This window comes from Homo sapiens, chromosome 3 (genome assembly GCF_000001405.40).
Source record: "Homo sapiens chromosome 3, GRCh38.p14 Primary Assembly".
Classification (NCBI taxonomy): domain Eukaryota; kingdom Metazoa; phylum Chordata; class Mammalia; order Primates; family Hominidae; genus Homo; species Homo sapiens.
Window position 1 is genome coordinate 45,974,085 of NC_000003.12, and position 16,407 is coordinate 45,990,491.

At 45.8% G+C, this 16,407-nt stretch overlaps 1 protein-coding gene across 14 annotated transcripts in view, besides 2 other annotated features; it reads right to left on the reverse strand.

Annotated features, from left to right (window-relative positions):
- Positions 1–16,407, reverse strand: part of FYCO1 (FYVE and coiled-coil domain autophagy adaptor 1) — a 77,922-nt gene that overhangs the window by 56,182 nt on the left and 5,333 nt on the right. For 8 of the 14 annotated variants that reach the window (NR_170107.1, NM_001386427.1, NM_001386423.1 and 5 more), the window contains exons 2-5: positions 10,772–10,938; positions 7,486–7,592; positions 5,621–5,746; positions 1,155–1,261 (exon numbers count right to left, since the gene is read on the reverse strand). Coding sequence is in view for 12 of the 14 variants with exons in the window: in NM_001386427.1 (NP_001373356.1) it covers positions 1,155–1,261; positions 5,621–5,746; positions 7,486–7,592; positions 10,772–10,826 (395 nt within the window). In the remaining 2 variants the exon portion in view is untranslated. Of the gene's footprint in view, positions 1–1,154; positions 1,262–5,620; positions 5,747–7,485; positions 7,593–10,771; positions 10,939–11,067; positions 11,152–11,447; positions 11,599–16,407 lie in introns of those variants that run through there. The other 6 variants (XM_047448902.1, NM_001386421.1, NM_001386428.1 and 3 more) reach the window with 4 other exon arrangements.
- Positions 12,233–12,527: an enhancer, noted in NCBI's record as "tiled region #2695; HepG2 Activating DNase matched - State 5:Enh". NCBI's record gives its function as "activates a minimal TATA promoter and a strong SV40 promoter by Sharpr-MPRA in HepG2 cells {active_cell/tissue: HepG2}" and the evidence as "EXISTENCE:reporter gene assay evidence [ECO:0000049][PMID:27701403]".
- Positions 13,965–14,465: an enhancer, noted in NCBI's record as "H3K27ac hESC enhancer chr3:46029541-46030041 (GRCh37/hg19 assembly coordinates)". NCBI's record gives its function as "activates a minimal SCP1, AML or CMV promoter by ChIP-STARR-seq in primed H9 embryonic stem cells {active_cell/tissue: H9 hESC(primed)}" and the evidence as "EXISTENCE:reporter gene assay evidence [ECO:0000049][PMID:30033119]".

Below are 16,407 nucleotides of genomic sequence, written 5' to 3' on the forward strand. Positions count from 1 at the left end.
AATGAAAAAGATGCCTGGGCATAGTGGCTCACACCTGTAATCCTAGCACTTTGGGAGGCCTAGGCAGGGGGTTCACTTGAGCCCAGGAATTTGAGGCCAAGCTGGGCAACATAGTGAGACCCTGTCTATATAAAAAGTAAAAAATTAGCCAGACACAGTGGTAAATGCCTATCCAGCTACTCGAAGGCTGAGGTAAGAAGATCACTTGAGCCCAGCAGCTTGAGGTTACAGTGTGCTATGATCGTGCCACTGCACTCCCGCGTGGGCAAAAAAGTGGGACATTATTGTCTGTGAACTGTGCGATCTTCACCAAACATCTAAAACAAAATAACCTTCAAATCAAATATGCAAACTTTTTCAGCTCACATCAATTCACAAGGCCTGTCACATGCATGAGAAATATGAGTACATCTCTATGCAAATCAATCTTTAAGGTGACATAATGAAACAAAAGGTTTTCCCTTTGTAGTTTTTTTTAGATTCAAAAAAATTTGGAATACTCCAAAAGGAAAGGGGCCAAGAGATGCTGGAAAACCCAAAGAGGTTTAGTTGACTGGTACCTGATTTGCAGCTTCTAAGCTGACACCCATTCTCCCCTTTATAGACTCAATCCCTGCCTCTCTCCTCCCTTCTCTCTTCCCTTTTGAGGCTTCAGCACTACCCGCACAAAGGCTGACTGCACACCTGACCTGAGCTCTGCAGTGGCTCCCAGTCCTGGCTACCCACCAGTCTCCAGTGTGTTCACTCAGTATGCCAGGTGAGGACGCAGGCTCAGTAGTATTAAAAGCCCCACAGGTGATTCTGCTGAGAGGCCAAGGCTGTAACCTGTCTGTCCAGTAGTGCTGGCACCAAGGACATGCCATCCACCAGGGAAAATGCCTGGTATCGGGAGTTAAGAGAGTAACGGGTGAGGCCTAGAGAAAAGCATTAAGCCCCTCTGAGCCTCACTTACCTATAAAAACACAGTGCTACTTGCCCACATGTGTCAAGGACTTTGGGAGGAGGGGTGGAAGACAATGATATATGTGGAAGGAGTCTGCAGTGTCACGGGGGACACAAATGAGCACTACTGTTGCAGCTGTCATTATTATTAATGAACTTTAGTTCATTTCTGCACGGGATGATCCCAAACCCCAGCCCTGTCCTGTATTTACCTGGTCACTTTGGTGTTCATGAAGCACTGCTGTAAGGTGTCTGCCAACCTCTGGTGCACCAAGGAGTAGCGAATAAATGCTCTTCCTTTCCCCAAGGATGTTCGGAGCTGGAAAAAGCAGATTACATAGAGCCAAAGAGCTGTCAGCCTAACTCCAAATACAGACCTGGTCTCATAGATGGCTTGTGAAACACAGATACAGGGCAAAAAATGTCACCCAATTTTACCCTATACGTTGTCCTTCAAAGGACACAACACATTTGATACTCTTACCGCAGAGAGTAAGGCTTGAAGTGGGTGAACTACTTGCAGGCCTTCATCTGAGAATAATCTGCAGACTCCAGCAAACATATCATGGAAAACATATTAACAAGAGGCTTCCAAACATCTGTGGATTCTATTGGAATGTCACTTTCCCTCCTCTGCTCTATCAGAATCTCTGGGTTTGGAGTCAGATAGGAACCAAATAAAACTCAGTTTTATATTAGAGTAAAACCTGGAGGTAGGTAAGTGAAGCACTTCTCACACCAGAAGTCAGCTTGAGGAGGAAGAGATGGGCTCAGCTCAGCTAATGATGGTTTGTTTTTAAGGTGCGTGGGGAACAGGTGCAGGGGAAGGGCCTAAAGGGCTTGGCAGAAACATGTGCAGAAGGAGGAAGGGAGGGACAAGGGCAGAGGTGCGTGAGTGCGGCCGTGTAACTGCCTCATCTGTGTTCCATGAAACCATCAGTAAAATCTACAAGTCTGCCAACGCTTTCCTGGTTGGATTTCCTGTTCTTTATCAGATATGCCAAATCACTACATTGAATCAGAAGGAGCCCAGGGGTGAGACCAGGGGTGTCTCTAGGCAGCCCAGTCACACTGGGCTAAGGATAAAATGGATATGGGTCTGTCTCACAAGTTTGGCATGGATGGCATAGGAAGGCCCAGGTGCAGGCCTGTCTTCAAAACCTCTCCCCACAGAGCTTATACCTAAAATCCAATTCAGAGGAAGGAGATGTGACCGTAACTGTTTGAGGCTTAAATTCACCACTCAAAAGCTTGTTGTGATGGAAATGGGATATGTTGGTCAGAGACTCTGCCATGAGGCTGCAAAGCAGGGCTCTGTCAGCTGGGAGCATATAATGGCCAAGGCGGATGGAATAAAAGGGACAGCCACAGAAGACACTTGGGCAAGTTTGCAAATTAGGATTCATATTCCTGATAGGTCAGCCCAGAAACTCAAGAAAGTAGGCAGGAATTCAAAACCTCCTGACCTACCACAAGCACCTGCTCTCTCAGGCTCTGGCTCTGGGTAGGGTAAGCTGGAACCAATACCCTCCCCACCCCTTCAAAGGTCAGAAATATTTACAGTGTGTATATGTGATGGGGGAAGGGGGAGCAGTGGTTTGCCAGAGGGTTCCTATACCTCATACTATTCAAATTTTAATTCCAACACTATATTGAGTCAGGAAATATTGGCATTAAATGCCAGTGATTGAGGCTGTACCACATATTTCCTGATTCAATGGGGTAAACATCCTGGTGTATAGCACCTTTTAGCTCAGAACTATATTTCTTCTTACTGCTGACTCAAGGAAATGATACCATATGAAGTAGTTTTAAAAAACAAAAAGGTGTTAACTCTCTTTAACTACAGAAGCTGTAAGACATTTCCCCATGTATGTTTTGGGTACAGCCAGGACACCTGGAAGTGAAGGCAGGCAGCAGCCTGGTTTATTGGCTTTATAAAAACCACCATGACATGTCTGCAGATAGACGATCTCAGCAGATGCGCGGGGGAGAATCTTGATGGTATATCCTGTCTAAATCAGTTTTCCACTGACGATTGAGGTGAGAACAAAGTGTTTAGTGGTGATAACCAGGAAATTCAGGCCGTTGGAAAGAGGTGAGCAAGGCATTGTAAAGTGAAGCATGTCAATTATACAAACACACACCCTGCAGAATTTCATTAAGACCCTCACATCACAGCCCAGGTCTGTAAGCTCCCAAAGACAGGAACTTGTCCTTATTTTTGGCAAACTTACCATTATACCAGCCTTTAGAACATCAAAACTTTTTTAATGGCAAACATTTGAGGCTATACTTTTAATCAGGCCCATTAACTGAATTAAATATATATATATATATATATATATATATATATATATATATATATATATATATATATAAAGGGAACTATTTATTTTAAAAGGTATTTTTAGGGGGAAGGGAACAATAGTTCCTTTGTACTGCAAATCAAAATGCTGCATGGCCTTTTTATGTTTTGAGATTATGGATCCACTTTCATTAACTAATTCCTTAATTTTTTTTAGCTTCTAATCAGAACCCACATACACTATCCAGAGAAGCAATACAATGGCAGCAAAGGACAGGAAATCTGCAGGGTACAGGAGAGCTGATTCTGCTTTAAACCAGGTCATTGTGCCAAGAGCCCGATGCCGAGCTACACCCTCATCACAGTGAAACACAGTCCAAGCTGAGCCCATACTGAATCTCCAGAAATGGTTTCTTAGAACCTTCACCTATTTTAGCCTAAATAGCTACCGCCTACCTCAAAGGGGTCTGAGGGAACCTACAAATGCTTCTTATCCATTAACTCTTGCCCTCTCAGTTAAAGACCCAGATGGCTACTTGATTATTAAAATTAACCAAGTAACCAGCAACTCACTTAGCCTAGGGATGTTCCAAGCCATTCCAACCAATGATGCCCCAGAGAGCAGTCTTCAACAGAGATGAAACTGGACCCTATGGGAAGCAGAGCCTATGCCAGCCACTAAAACACCAACATTCATGCAAGCAAGGAATGTTTTTTGCTTCTAGAAAGTCAATTTTCATGGCTTCAGACTGTCTAAAGATCTGTTTGCATTATGAGAAAAGAAGAAGAAACTAGCCAAAAAGTAGATGTGTTTTAGCAAGCATTTCATAATCCTGGGGAATGCGGACTAAAACTAAATTTATTTCCAGACTTCAACTGTCCAAAGTCATAAAGTTAAAGGCTTTAGTTGCTCTGATGCAGCGGCTGAGGAATGAAGAGAGGAGAGTGACAAAGAGAACCTCTTCCACATTTATGATGCACTAAAATTAAAATACTGCTCTACTTCATGGACCCAAGTATCCCACCAGACCTCACAAGACTCATCCACACTAACATGGACATTAAAGAAACTCGCAGAACCAGCCCTTTAGAGCCAGGATCCTTCCTCATCGTCTCAGATGTCAGAGAGTGCAAATGGTGGGAAATGTCCAGCCATTGATGTCAGCATATCTAACACCATCATTCTCTATAAGAAGAAAGTCATTTAGCTCCAGCTGGCGTGTTTGGTGAGGAGCCCTTCCCAGAATACCTTAGGCTGTGGTATTTGTGGGCAGCCAGCCAAGCAGCAGGTGTGTTGACTTTAAACTGACTTCACACTTACTGAAAAGAAAGAAGAAATGTACAAACCTCCTGTCTCAAATCAAGGGGTTTACCTGCTCCCTGATATGCAAAGTTCTGCACTCCTGGATGGAATAGGCTGAGGAGAGAGAAGAAAGATTCTCTGGGGGTTGAGGGTGGAAAATAAACAGAAAGGAGAGTGTGAGTGTGTATGTGAAGTATGTGTGTGTGTTTGTTGTTCTGGAGTTTTTTTTTTTTTTTTGAGACGGAGTCTCGCTCTGTCGCCCAGGCTGGAGTGCAGTGGCGCGATCTCGGCTCACTGCAAGCTCCGCCTCCCGGGTTCACGCCATTCTCCTGCCTCAGCCTCCCGCGTAGCTGGGACTACAGGCGCCCGCCACCACGCCTGGCTAATTTTTTTGTGTGTTTTTTAGTAGAGACGGGGTTTCACTGTGTTAGCCAGGATGGTCTCGATCTCCTGACCTCGTGATCTGCCCGCCTCGGCCTCCCAAAGTGCTGGGATTACAGGCGTGAGCCACCGCGCCCGGCCTGTTCTGGAGTTTTGTAAAACAGCAAAGCCATGGCATTTTGCTCTTGAGGGGCGCAGAATTTAAAGTAGAAAGTTGGCACATCACTGTTTTAAGAAATGTCTCTTGAGATCCCACATCATTCTTATTTCAAATCTAAGTTTCCTGGGCAAAGTGTAGGGAAAGCAGCATAGCAAACTCTAAAGAATTTTATCTCAGAAAATGAGTTTTTTAAAAAGATGGAGTCATCCTATGCTTTACATCTCAAGGGCTGCCATTAGCAGACTACAATGTATGTGAATAGGCCACCCTGTTAAGTAACATGCGGGTTGTGGCCTAAGGTACATTCAGGACTCAGCATTCTTCCCCTTGATAAACACTCACTGAAGTGGTTTCCCCAACCTTGAGCCACTGCAACAATGGGCATTGCGTATACCTGGACTAGATTTCTTTACCACCCATAAACTCCCACTTCCTTATTTAGCTGTCTGCAGCAAAGGTCTCTGCAAGAGCTGCTTTAAGCAGGCAAAAGGACGACATGAAGTTGTTGGCTGCTTGCTCAGCTTACCTCTGAGATAGACTTGACAAAGCGGATCCCATCATTGGCTCCTTTCACCTTGGCCAGGCAGGCACAGAAGTAATCCCAGTAGTCCTTCTTGTTGCCCAGGAGGGTGGCCTTCTCTTTCTGATCAAACTGGGTAGGGAAAGGGAAAGGGAGAGGAGGTCCAAACCCACTGCTCTTCATTCCGGCATTTAAATGATAAATAATAACAATAGCTTCTTAGGTGCCAGCACTGGGTGAGGCCCTTTATTGGCATTATTTTTATTTATTGGCAAATCAAGGTGTGTTAATACCCTGTTCATACAGCTGGGTGGAAAACCACCGAAGGTGTTATTAACGGATGAGAAAGAAATACAAGAAAAGAGTCTTGGCCATGTGCGGTGGCTCACGCTGGTAATCCAGCACTTTGGGAGGCTGAGGTGGGTGGATCACCTGAGGTCAGGGGTCCAAGACCAGCCTGGCCAACATGGTGAAACCCCATCTCTACTAAAAATACAAAAATTAGCTGGGTGTGGTGGCGGGCGCCTGTGATCCCAGCTACTCAAGAGGCTGAGGCAGGAGAATCACTTGAACCCAGGAGGCAGAGGTAGCAGTGAGCCAAGGTTGCACCACTGCACTCCAGCCTGGGCAACAAGAGTGAAACTCTGTCTCAAAGAAAAAAAAAAAAAGAAAAAGAAAAGAGTCTTAAGGGCAATATGAAGAGTGTTAACTATGCTTCGACTTAGGGAAATAAGATAATGACCTTTTATCCCAGTTACTCAACACTTCAGTTTCAATATCGTTTTAATACACCTACAATAAATTTAAATAAATGTCAGCTCTGAGTCATTTCAAACCCAAAACCAAAATGGGCTTAATTGAAAAAAAGAAAGGCTCAAAAACATTTTTACAATGTTAAAGAACCAGCTGAAATGTCATGAGAGAGGCAAGCCCTTCAGCACGTTAGGGGCCTTTCCTCTAGTGGGCCCGCATACTACGTGCTTTGGTGGGATGTGACGTTGCAAAATAATGGTGTTCACAATGACACAGGTATATCTTTCTATAACATTTTATAGCATTTTTTTTCTGATTACAGAAGCAAGATATGCGTATGTTATTAGGATATCTAGATAAAACAAAACACAAAAATAGAAAAAAATTTAACACCTAATACCACTACCCTAAAATAACTTCTACAGCATTTCTTTCCTGCCTATTTTAGTTGCATGCATTTTTCCACATCTGCAGTGTTTTTTACATCAGCACTTTTTGGGCTAAGCAGGGATAAGAGTTATACCATCAATATGTTAAAAGAAAATATCCTGGGCTGACCCCAGAGATTCTGATTCAGTAGGTTGGGGTGGGAGCCAAGAATATACTACAAATAAGCTCCCAGAGGATGCTGATGCTGCTGGTCTATGGACTGCACATTGAGTAGCAAAGCTCTAAAACAGAAGCCCATGGATAATCTTTAGAGGGTCCACACACTCTTAGAATCTGCCTGCAAAAATGCGTGATTGTGTGTATACATACACGAATGTCTTTTTGGGAAGACTCTATAGCTTTCACTAAACTCCCAAAGGGGTATGTAACTGTCCCAAAGTTAAGATCTTTGCCATACAGTAACCTTCTGACCTACCTTACAATGACCTAAATCTCTAAAGGATGTTCTTGATTCTCAAAGCCATCCTAAGGGGCAACATTGCAATTCCCCAAAGGATCACACTTGGAGGATTGAGCTGGCACTGGGGACTGCTCTGACCTTCAATCTAACCACGAGGGCTTACTGGCTCCTTGGGCTTTCTGAACCATATCTTGAATGCTGATGAGTCACCCAAGAGGGAGAAAAGAGATACCAGTGCAAAAATCAACACATTACAGGCATCACTTACTTGCAGGAGATACTCAAGTTTATAAGAAAATTTATGCAAGCTGGTGCTGTCATCCGTGATGGGTTCCCCTGCTTCCTGAAATTCTTTGCTTAGTTCTGTCACAGCATCTTTAAGACAACAAATAGGAACATGTAACCAGATAGTGACTAAACTCAGACAGAGAAGCAGAAATAATCCAGGAAGCATGAGGAGCAAGTGGTCAGTGATACAAAGCACCTCTGAAACATAAAAGGGTATGTAAGTATCCATGAGATATAACTCCAAGTCAGGGAGTGTTGAAATGTCCTGAGAGCTCACAGATACTTTACAATGCTTGTTGACTGGGCACATTTCTTGTTCACCCTTGTCTGTCCACCACCCAGGGCTAGTAATTTGCATATAGTAGCTGGACAACAAATGTTTGCTGTGTGGATGAATCAATTCAGTCCCTGAATACTGACTTCCAGAAAGCTTTACCTTTATTCTAGCCACATTTCAGGTTCTTCACTATAATCCTACTGCTCATTATAGGTAAGCGCAGGATCAGAATACCCAGTATGTGCAAATAATAGTAGTGACAATCACAATTCCAACAATGACAACCGCACCTGCTTCTGTTAACTGAGTGTCCTTGAGGGGCTGGGCCTTTACATGTATTTTTCTCATTTAATATGGCATTGAGAGGCAGGGATTGCCTTATTTCGATGAATCTAAGATACAATTAATTATAATATACATTACAGTTTCAGAGCTGTTAAAATGTCAAAAAAAAAAGTACAATTTAGAATCTATGAAGTCTGCTATGATTATCCCCATTTTGCAGATGAGGAGTGTACAGAGAAATCAGAGCACTTGGCCAAAGATCATGGGTGGCAAACAGCAGAGCTGGAATAAGAACCCTGGTTTTCTCAAGAGCTGTCTAACTCCAGAGCTCACCTCTTAACTTCTAAGATAATTCACCTCCCTGTGTAGAAAAGAGGAAAACCCACCTTTGACTCTCACTCACTGCCTCTGCTGTGGGACAGAGGGACTATCGAGACACTGGATTTGGTTTAGATCCTGGAAAACCTTTTCCCAGCAGAGATGGTGGGATGTGCTTCACAAAACTATCTGCTTCTCTGGCAATTCTTAAATTCCTAAACCCTGCTCCCAAGAACCATGGTTTGAAGCAGACCTGTCCAGGACTGAAGCCAAGCCTAAGATGGCTGAAAATGTAATCAACACGACCCCTCAGGCAAAGATTAGCAAATGGTGGAGACAGGTTCTTGGGACTGATTCTTACAAGTGACTGTTGTCCACTGTACCTTGCTAGAAGTGTCTGCAATGGCTGGCACTGACAGCCAGTGAGCCAGGGGCCTGGGAGAGACAAAGAGCCTTCCTCCTCCACCCTCCTGCCTCCTCAGGCCAGGTAAACACTCGCAACCTGATCTGGGAACTCCTGAAACTTTGAAGGAGTAGACTCTGGATATGAAATATGAAATTTTCAGCTCTAATCTCTGATATTCTAAGTAATATTAGCTTTGCAGGAATTACTATTTGATTCTTTCAATAATCTTGAGAAGTGGGTGTTATCATCAAACCCACCTGGCACATGAAGGAAGCAACTGTGCGTTGGAAAGGTGAAGGGACTTGTCCAACATTTTCGAGGGTTAAAAGAGAAGCCAGAAGCTGAGCACACCCCTGCCTGACTCCAAAGTCTTTGAAACTGCTGTCACCAAGAGGATAAGTGGGCTGCCCTGCAGAGGAGTGAAGGCTGTGTACCACACAAAGATGCCTCAGTTAAGGACACTCCACTCTCATGGTAGATGCTGTAGATTTGTATGCTTATTAAGACGTTTACCAACAGATGAAAGTGGAGGGTACTGAGAAAGTGGCACCTTTCAAGAATTCCCACCAAAGTGCTCTGTGGCCTATGTAAAGGACATTGAAATCAGCCCAGGATGTTGGGGGTGGCCAGACTCAGCTGGTACATAGGATAGACAATGGTCTAGATCAGAAGCTCTACCTGAGGGTCCCCTATTTCACCCTCTTCCCTCCCAATAAGGACCTCCAGGTCTCAAAGTTATCCTCAAGAACCAGATATTGAAACACAGAAAAGACTATCTACTTTATGGAGAGACCTCTTAAAGCCAGTGGCAAACTCAGATTTGCAGAGACTGGCATTTCACTTTCTCTGCCTCTCTGTGTAGATTTAAAAAAGCATCTAATGTCTTAGCTGAAAGTAGACTAGAGTGGTTAGGAGCATAGACTGGTGCCAGGCTGTTGGTATAGAAAGTGCCCGGTGCACATGAAATGCCATGAAATTGTTAGCTATCAGAGGCCCAAGGCATGGTAGACACAAGATTAAAAGCCTGAGAAAATGTTTTTTATCTTGTTGACTTTGGAACTTCAGAATGAGAACTGCACTGTGGCCATGCTAGGCCAATGGCTCCTGGTATGGGAGATAACTGCTTGTGGTGCCCAAGCAGTTAGAAGCCTGGGCCTTTAGTCTGTCAGAAAAGTGTCACAGCGGACTCTGCAGGCATGGAGGAAGTGGTCAGCTTCAGACTGTGTAGTATCAAGTGTCCTAGAGCTCCGAAGAGCTTAAAGGTCAGCACTGGTGATGAGTGGGGATGGAAAACTTATAAAAACTCTGACCCCTGGGACAGCATCTGAAAGAGTGAAACTTGGAATTTGCAGCCAAAAAGAAAATAGTCCGTTTCTCCTGAGTCTATGAAACTTTATCTGCACCTTCCTCTGCCTTGCTTTTCTCCAGTGAGATAAGGGATACAAGTCATAGCCTCTCTCAGTGGACAACGCTGAGCTCAGGGAAGTCTGGGAGGCAGCAGGACTGGACCTACAGTGCATCCCAGGCAATGGGCCATCCGCCAGCCAGGACCCAGTTGGGCAGCAAAACAAGATAGGTGGGTCTCTGTCCTTCCTGCTCAGTGGGAGAAAGAACATTCTTTTCCAAAGAAGCCAACTTCATCAGAGCCCAGAAGTTTGGGATTTAGCCAAAGACTTAACAGGCAGCTTCAAAACACACATGTGTGCACTAATGGAAATCAGACCCAGTCCTGGAGCCGGGTGTATGATTTTGTTTACAAACTGGCTTTACAGTTCTCTGAAAGGAAACCAGGCAAGCTTTCCAAGCCTTACACAAGGTGGATATTTGAGACCCAAATATTTCAATATGATGTGACCTGAGGACTCCAATTACTCGTTGTGTGAACAAAAATGAAAGGGTTGAATTTCAACTGGCAACAGCAAAAAGCCCTGCCACAAGTCCCTCAAAACCAAACTCAGCCTGCCCAGCAACCTACCATACCTTGCAAGTCTCGGATGATTCTCTGGAGCTGGCTCTCTGCATTGGTGGAGGCCATGGTGAGTTTGCCTTTCTTGTCTGTATGTCTCCTGCCTGGGTCCAGAGGAAGGCTCAGAATTTCGGCCCTCGGTGGCTGTCTGCTCAGCAGTGGTCAGACTCCATGGTGGCACCTGCACAGAGGAAGGGGAGGCCATGGAGGAAGCAGATACAGACACAATTTAACGACAATATTAGAGAACTCTGCTCTGGGCACAAAGGTCACCCTATCTGGGTGTATTCCCTCAACAGGAGGGCTTGACCTTTCTGTGTGGGCCTTGTTCTGTGGGCACTCTCTGGTTTGTTTCTGACACACTTCTATTCAGACACAGTGACCTGGTTTGGGGCTAAACAAGAAATTAGATCAATCATATTGCAGCCTATCTTTTTGAGCTCACTTTCCATTCACCTTAGATAGGACTGCCTTACTTTCCTTTAAAAAGCCACCTAGTGGCTCTCTCCATCCCCTTATACCAAAGGCTACACGGAATCAGTGCAGCCCAGCTTCAGACAGCTCTGCTAAGCCTAAGGATCCCCATCTCCCCCACACCTGGCCCCACACCCTCTCCACCTTTCTTTCTCTGAAGAATGGTCAGTCTCTAGCCAGGCAGTGCTAGTTGGGGGAGAGGATGAGGACACATACCCTCAGAACTTCTGGACCAAGGAAAGCCGGGCTTGCCTGGCAGGGTCCCCTTCGTCGTGAGGCTTGAAGCCTCCAGCTGCCCAGAGTCCAACTCAGCCTGGGTGTGCAGATGCTGCCTGGCCTTCTCTCCAGAGGCCTGCACAGCCCCTGCACCAGGCAATGGATGTGTCTCTATTTTTAAGTTTGGTTACAGTCCTCTCCCAGCTGGTGAGTCCTGAGTTATCAGCCCTACATGGGCAGCTGTTGAAGTGATTTACCCGTAGGGCTGAAGGCCAACAGAAGTTAAAGAGATGTGAGCACATTGGAAAGAGGTCTGGACATGCATCTGGAGATCCTACGTCCTTTCAGAACCTCTCATTCTTCCCTTAGATATCCAGTGCAAGGTTGTAATGTTTGCTGGCAAAGTAGATAGCAAGACTAGAGTTGGCTGTGGTGGCAGCCGGCACTAAATGAGGGTCTATTGCGTGCAGGGCTCTGTTACGTGCTTTACACACATGATCACTTTTAATTCTCACAATCACCCTGGTGGAGCAGATAACATCGTCCCTGTTTACAAAGGAGAAAATGATGCTCAGAGGAGTCATGTAACTTGTTTTAGGCCACGGGCCAGTAAGGCGAGGAATCACAGAGACTGAACTCTGGTCAGTCTGATTTCAAACCTGGTGGTTTTCCAATAAGTCCTACTGACTTTTTAAGACTCAGCCATTGTCACTACAGCAAATGACCAACCACTTCCACCGGCTCGAGGTACTACCATGAACTCCAGCATCTCCCAAGTAATGTGAACACCCTGAGTGTTCTAACACATGCCACCTCTCACTCTCCCACTGCCACCTTGCCCTCGTGGCTCCAGGAGTCCAGGCAAGCAGATCCTGGCATGGAAACCACCCCAGCCACAAGCTCCTCCAAATATTTACATAAGGATTCCTGCCTCTGCCCGAGGAGAGGGCCTATCACAGGGCAGAGATAACTAGAGCCTATTTTTAACTAACTAGCCAATGTAGCTGTGACTCAGTGCAAACAAGGCCCAAAGAGGGCTTCTCTGGCTTAGGAAGGAAACAGACACATGCCCGTACCACAGTCCCAGGAATTCATGAGTCCCAGAGAGAAGAGCTTCAGGGGAGCCACAGAGAACCCCCCAAACCTCCCAACAAGTGTTGGCACCCATCCATCAGGGACACCAAACTGAGGATGGGAGTGCTTTATGAGAAGCCTGCCTGCCCATCCCTGGGTGTCTCTCCAGGTCACCAGCTGAACACAGGCCTGAGCAGGGACCAGCCGGGGCCCTAGAGAGAGCCAGAGAGGATAAGAACCTCCACTATCAACACACAGCTGCCCCAGCACATTCCGTCAAGTGTCTGCTACATGCAGGCTGGGGATACAGAGGCACACAAGACACAGTCCAGCCCTGGAAGAGCCTGGCTACCCATCAAGGAGACAGATGGAAAAATATCACATATCCAGATACAATGGAAGAGGCTCACGTAGAGATATGGATAAAAAGTCATGGGCACTCAGTACTGAGAAGATATGAACTATGGGCATACAAAACAACATGGAGGAATCTGAAATGCCCTGTGCTGAGTCAAAGAAGCCTCTCAAACCACCACAACTGTGCAATCCCATTTATATGCTATTCTGGCAAAGGCAAATCATTAGGAGAGAAATCACATCAGTAGCTGCCAGGGTCTAGGGGAGAAGGGAGAGTCTGACTACAAAGGAGCACAGGAAAATATGGGGGGCAATTCTGTTTACTGCCTTGATTACGGTGATGGTTACATGACTATATGTATTTGACAAACATACACTTGTCACAACTCATATAACTATAAGTTATATCTCACAAAAAAGGAGCATTGGGATGAATTTATAAAAAAAAATGCAGTGGGATCTGAGGAAGGGAAAATCTAATTCAGCTTGGGGAAGGGAGAAGTGGTAGACACTCTGTGATGGCCAGGCCTAAAAAGTGAACAGGCAGTCACTGGAGAGAGCCAAAAAGAAAAGGATGCTGGGACGGAGGCACACAAGAGTAAAGGCTGTTTCTCTAACTGCATTCCTCTTATTTGGCTGCTGCCAACACAGAGGAGTTTGCAGTCTCTGAGAGAAATAATCCTGGAGAAAGACGACTGGAGTGATACCCTGTGATCTTTAAATGCAGCCCACTGGGTCTGTGTGTACACTTCTGACCATGTCTGTGGAGAGGGTGGAGCTTGGGAAGGAGGTGATAGCAACAACAGATCCTGAGTAACTCATCCGGGCTGCGGCCAGGACAATGAAGGAACCAACCAGCTGGATTTTCTGGAAACCAGCCCTAACTGGAGTCTGGCACAAGGGAAACAATGTCTGCAAACCCAAACAGCATCATAAGCCTGAACACAGATGGCAACACACTCCTTTAAGACTTCTTGGTGCTTTGGTGACACTGCCCTTGTGTGAGCCCAAGGCAGGAGACCTTCTCTGTCTGACCTTGGGAGTGTGCTCTTGGCTGGTGTCAAGTTCCCAGGTCGTGGGGTGAGCTGTTCCCAGCCACTCATTACACAAGCTGATTTTTCAAAGAGCCTGTGTCGCCACCAGCATAATGAGCCCTAAGAAACTGCCTGCCAGGCCTGTGGGGTGTGGTGGGCTTCCCCACTCTGGCTCTGGGTCATCACCTCACAGGGATTCAGGAAGTAAATCAGAGCTTCCATAGAGAACATGGTCACCATGGGGATGCTATTTTCAGGAACTCAGCATCTTGCCCTCCTTGCTCCTCCGTCTCGGTCTGAGGTCATTACTAACCAACAAAAGGCACAGAATGGGCAAGATCACTCTCCAAACATGGCCAACTTCCTTGTGTCTCTAGATAAGCTTGCCCTTTCATTGAGGGAATCACAGACTCCTGGCATGAACCAGCCTGATCCTGACATCTACAACCCATTAGCAAATGGCTCTCCTAACTCAGGAGACACTCAAAGCTCTGTACATACTACCACGGCTGCCCCAGCACCAGCGTAAGGACTCCAGGACTCACACACCTCACAGGGCCCCCAGTGTGCCAATCACCTCATAAACCCACAGTCCTTGTTGCACAACATGTAAAAACCTTCGTTGCTGTCTCTGACAGGCTCTTTCAAATATCAGAGAAATGCGTTTTATAAAATCTTTGGAAGCATTGAATTTCCTTGCCAACAACTCAAAATTATGTTTAAGCCTATCCAAAATGTCTGAAAACATCCAGTTTTCTGACAAAGAGGAAAAGGGACTCAATGCATTTTTTAAAATTCTTATTTTTCACTTGGTACTACTGTATGAGTTCCTAGTCATGACCTAGATATCATTTTAGAAGTAAAGGACCTTCTCTGACCTCCAAGTTTTTTCTATACCTGCCCAGATGCCCTAAATGCCTTAAACAATAGCAACGGCAATTTAGTCAAATTAAGATACAAAGATGCTGACTGACTCATGCAAACCTATTTATGCTATGGTCCAAGTGACTAATACTCATAATATTGCCCAGAAACTGGCTCAGACAGCATCTGAGTAGTCACACAAGGAAAGAAGAATCATCAGGGGAGGAGGAGGTTGGAGGCGTGGAAGTCAACCTTTCTCCACCTTCAAAATTTTGCTCCCAACACAATAGCTAAGGGCTGACCCAGAGAGGACACCTTACAGTTGGATTCCTCCCCCAGTCCCAAATAAGGAGGAGCCTACCAGTTGTAAAGTCTCCCCTGACCAAGAAAGAATGTTAAGGACAAGGATGGTTAAAAAGGCAGAAAAGCCTTTCTGGAAGAGTCCATTGCCTAGGCCTGGTTCAGCACACCCAACGGCAACTATCTAGTTACCACCTACAGAAAGGGAGGCACTTGGCTGGTACCTGCAGCTTCGAAGGCCTGGAGGTCCTGCTGGCCCAGGGGCTGGAACAATCAGTGGGCAGGCAGACTGCCCTTCCCAGAGCTTCAAGAGGGTGGCTAGGAGAGTGCTCCGGAGTTTGCCAGAGGCCAGCTCAGAGGCAGGCATTTCAGCACACGTGAACAAAGACTCATTAGGTGACCCAACCCCTTGGACCTATGATTAAAGTGTTAACCCACTGCATGCCTGGGTCATCTTTCCCAAACACTCCTTTTTGCTTGTCATCTTCTCTCTTTCATAAAGGGAATGAGAACTTGAGGCTTTGCCATGGCTTCTTCAACCTTCTCTTGGTCCCCTTCCCCCCACCAACAATAGCAGTTTCCTTGGTTGCTCTCCCAGAACACATACAAAACAGCCACTATTCGAGTCCATGGACCCCAGAGAGCAGGACTTAGAGGGCTCTGAGGTGTTGCTTTTGGATCTGGGGAAGCCAAGTCTTTTTTTAGTGAGGTGGGCAGTTGCTCAAGGGAGGAGCCACACCTCTGTACTTGACGCTGTGGGGCTGAGAAAATATCCAAGAGGTGACAATGACAGGCATGAGAATCTGGACAATCTCTGGAACAACTGCATCAATAATTAAGAACTCAACTGGTGCATCTACTCCTGCTCCAAAGAATACAGGCCCAACCTAGATGGGGAAAAACTACAGATCTCCAAAATTATATGCTCTGGGACCTCTCCTGACCGAAGTGTCAGGGGGTCAATCCAGCTAGTTATGAACTAAGAACTGAATCTCTGATAGAATATGACATAGCCACAAAACATGGCCTTGAGGAAGCAGCAGGCAACTTCTGTGTGCTAACAAACTGCCAGCCAGGTAAAAGGTATTTTTTGGCAGCACGATTAAGAGGCAAGCCTGAACCAGGAGCCGGGGCTATAGCTGTGAAAAGGGGCAGTGGGTGGAGCTCTGACCTTTAAGGAACTCAGGCTCAGCAGGAGAAATAGATAACATATACCCCAATAAAAACTAGTAAGAAGGAGCACTTGAGGCCTGGTAAGTGCTTTGATAAGAACAAGTGAACATACAAGGTACCACACTGTACTCCGCTCATGATTCTCAGCCCTCACTGCA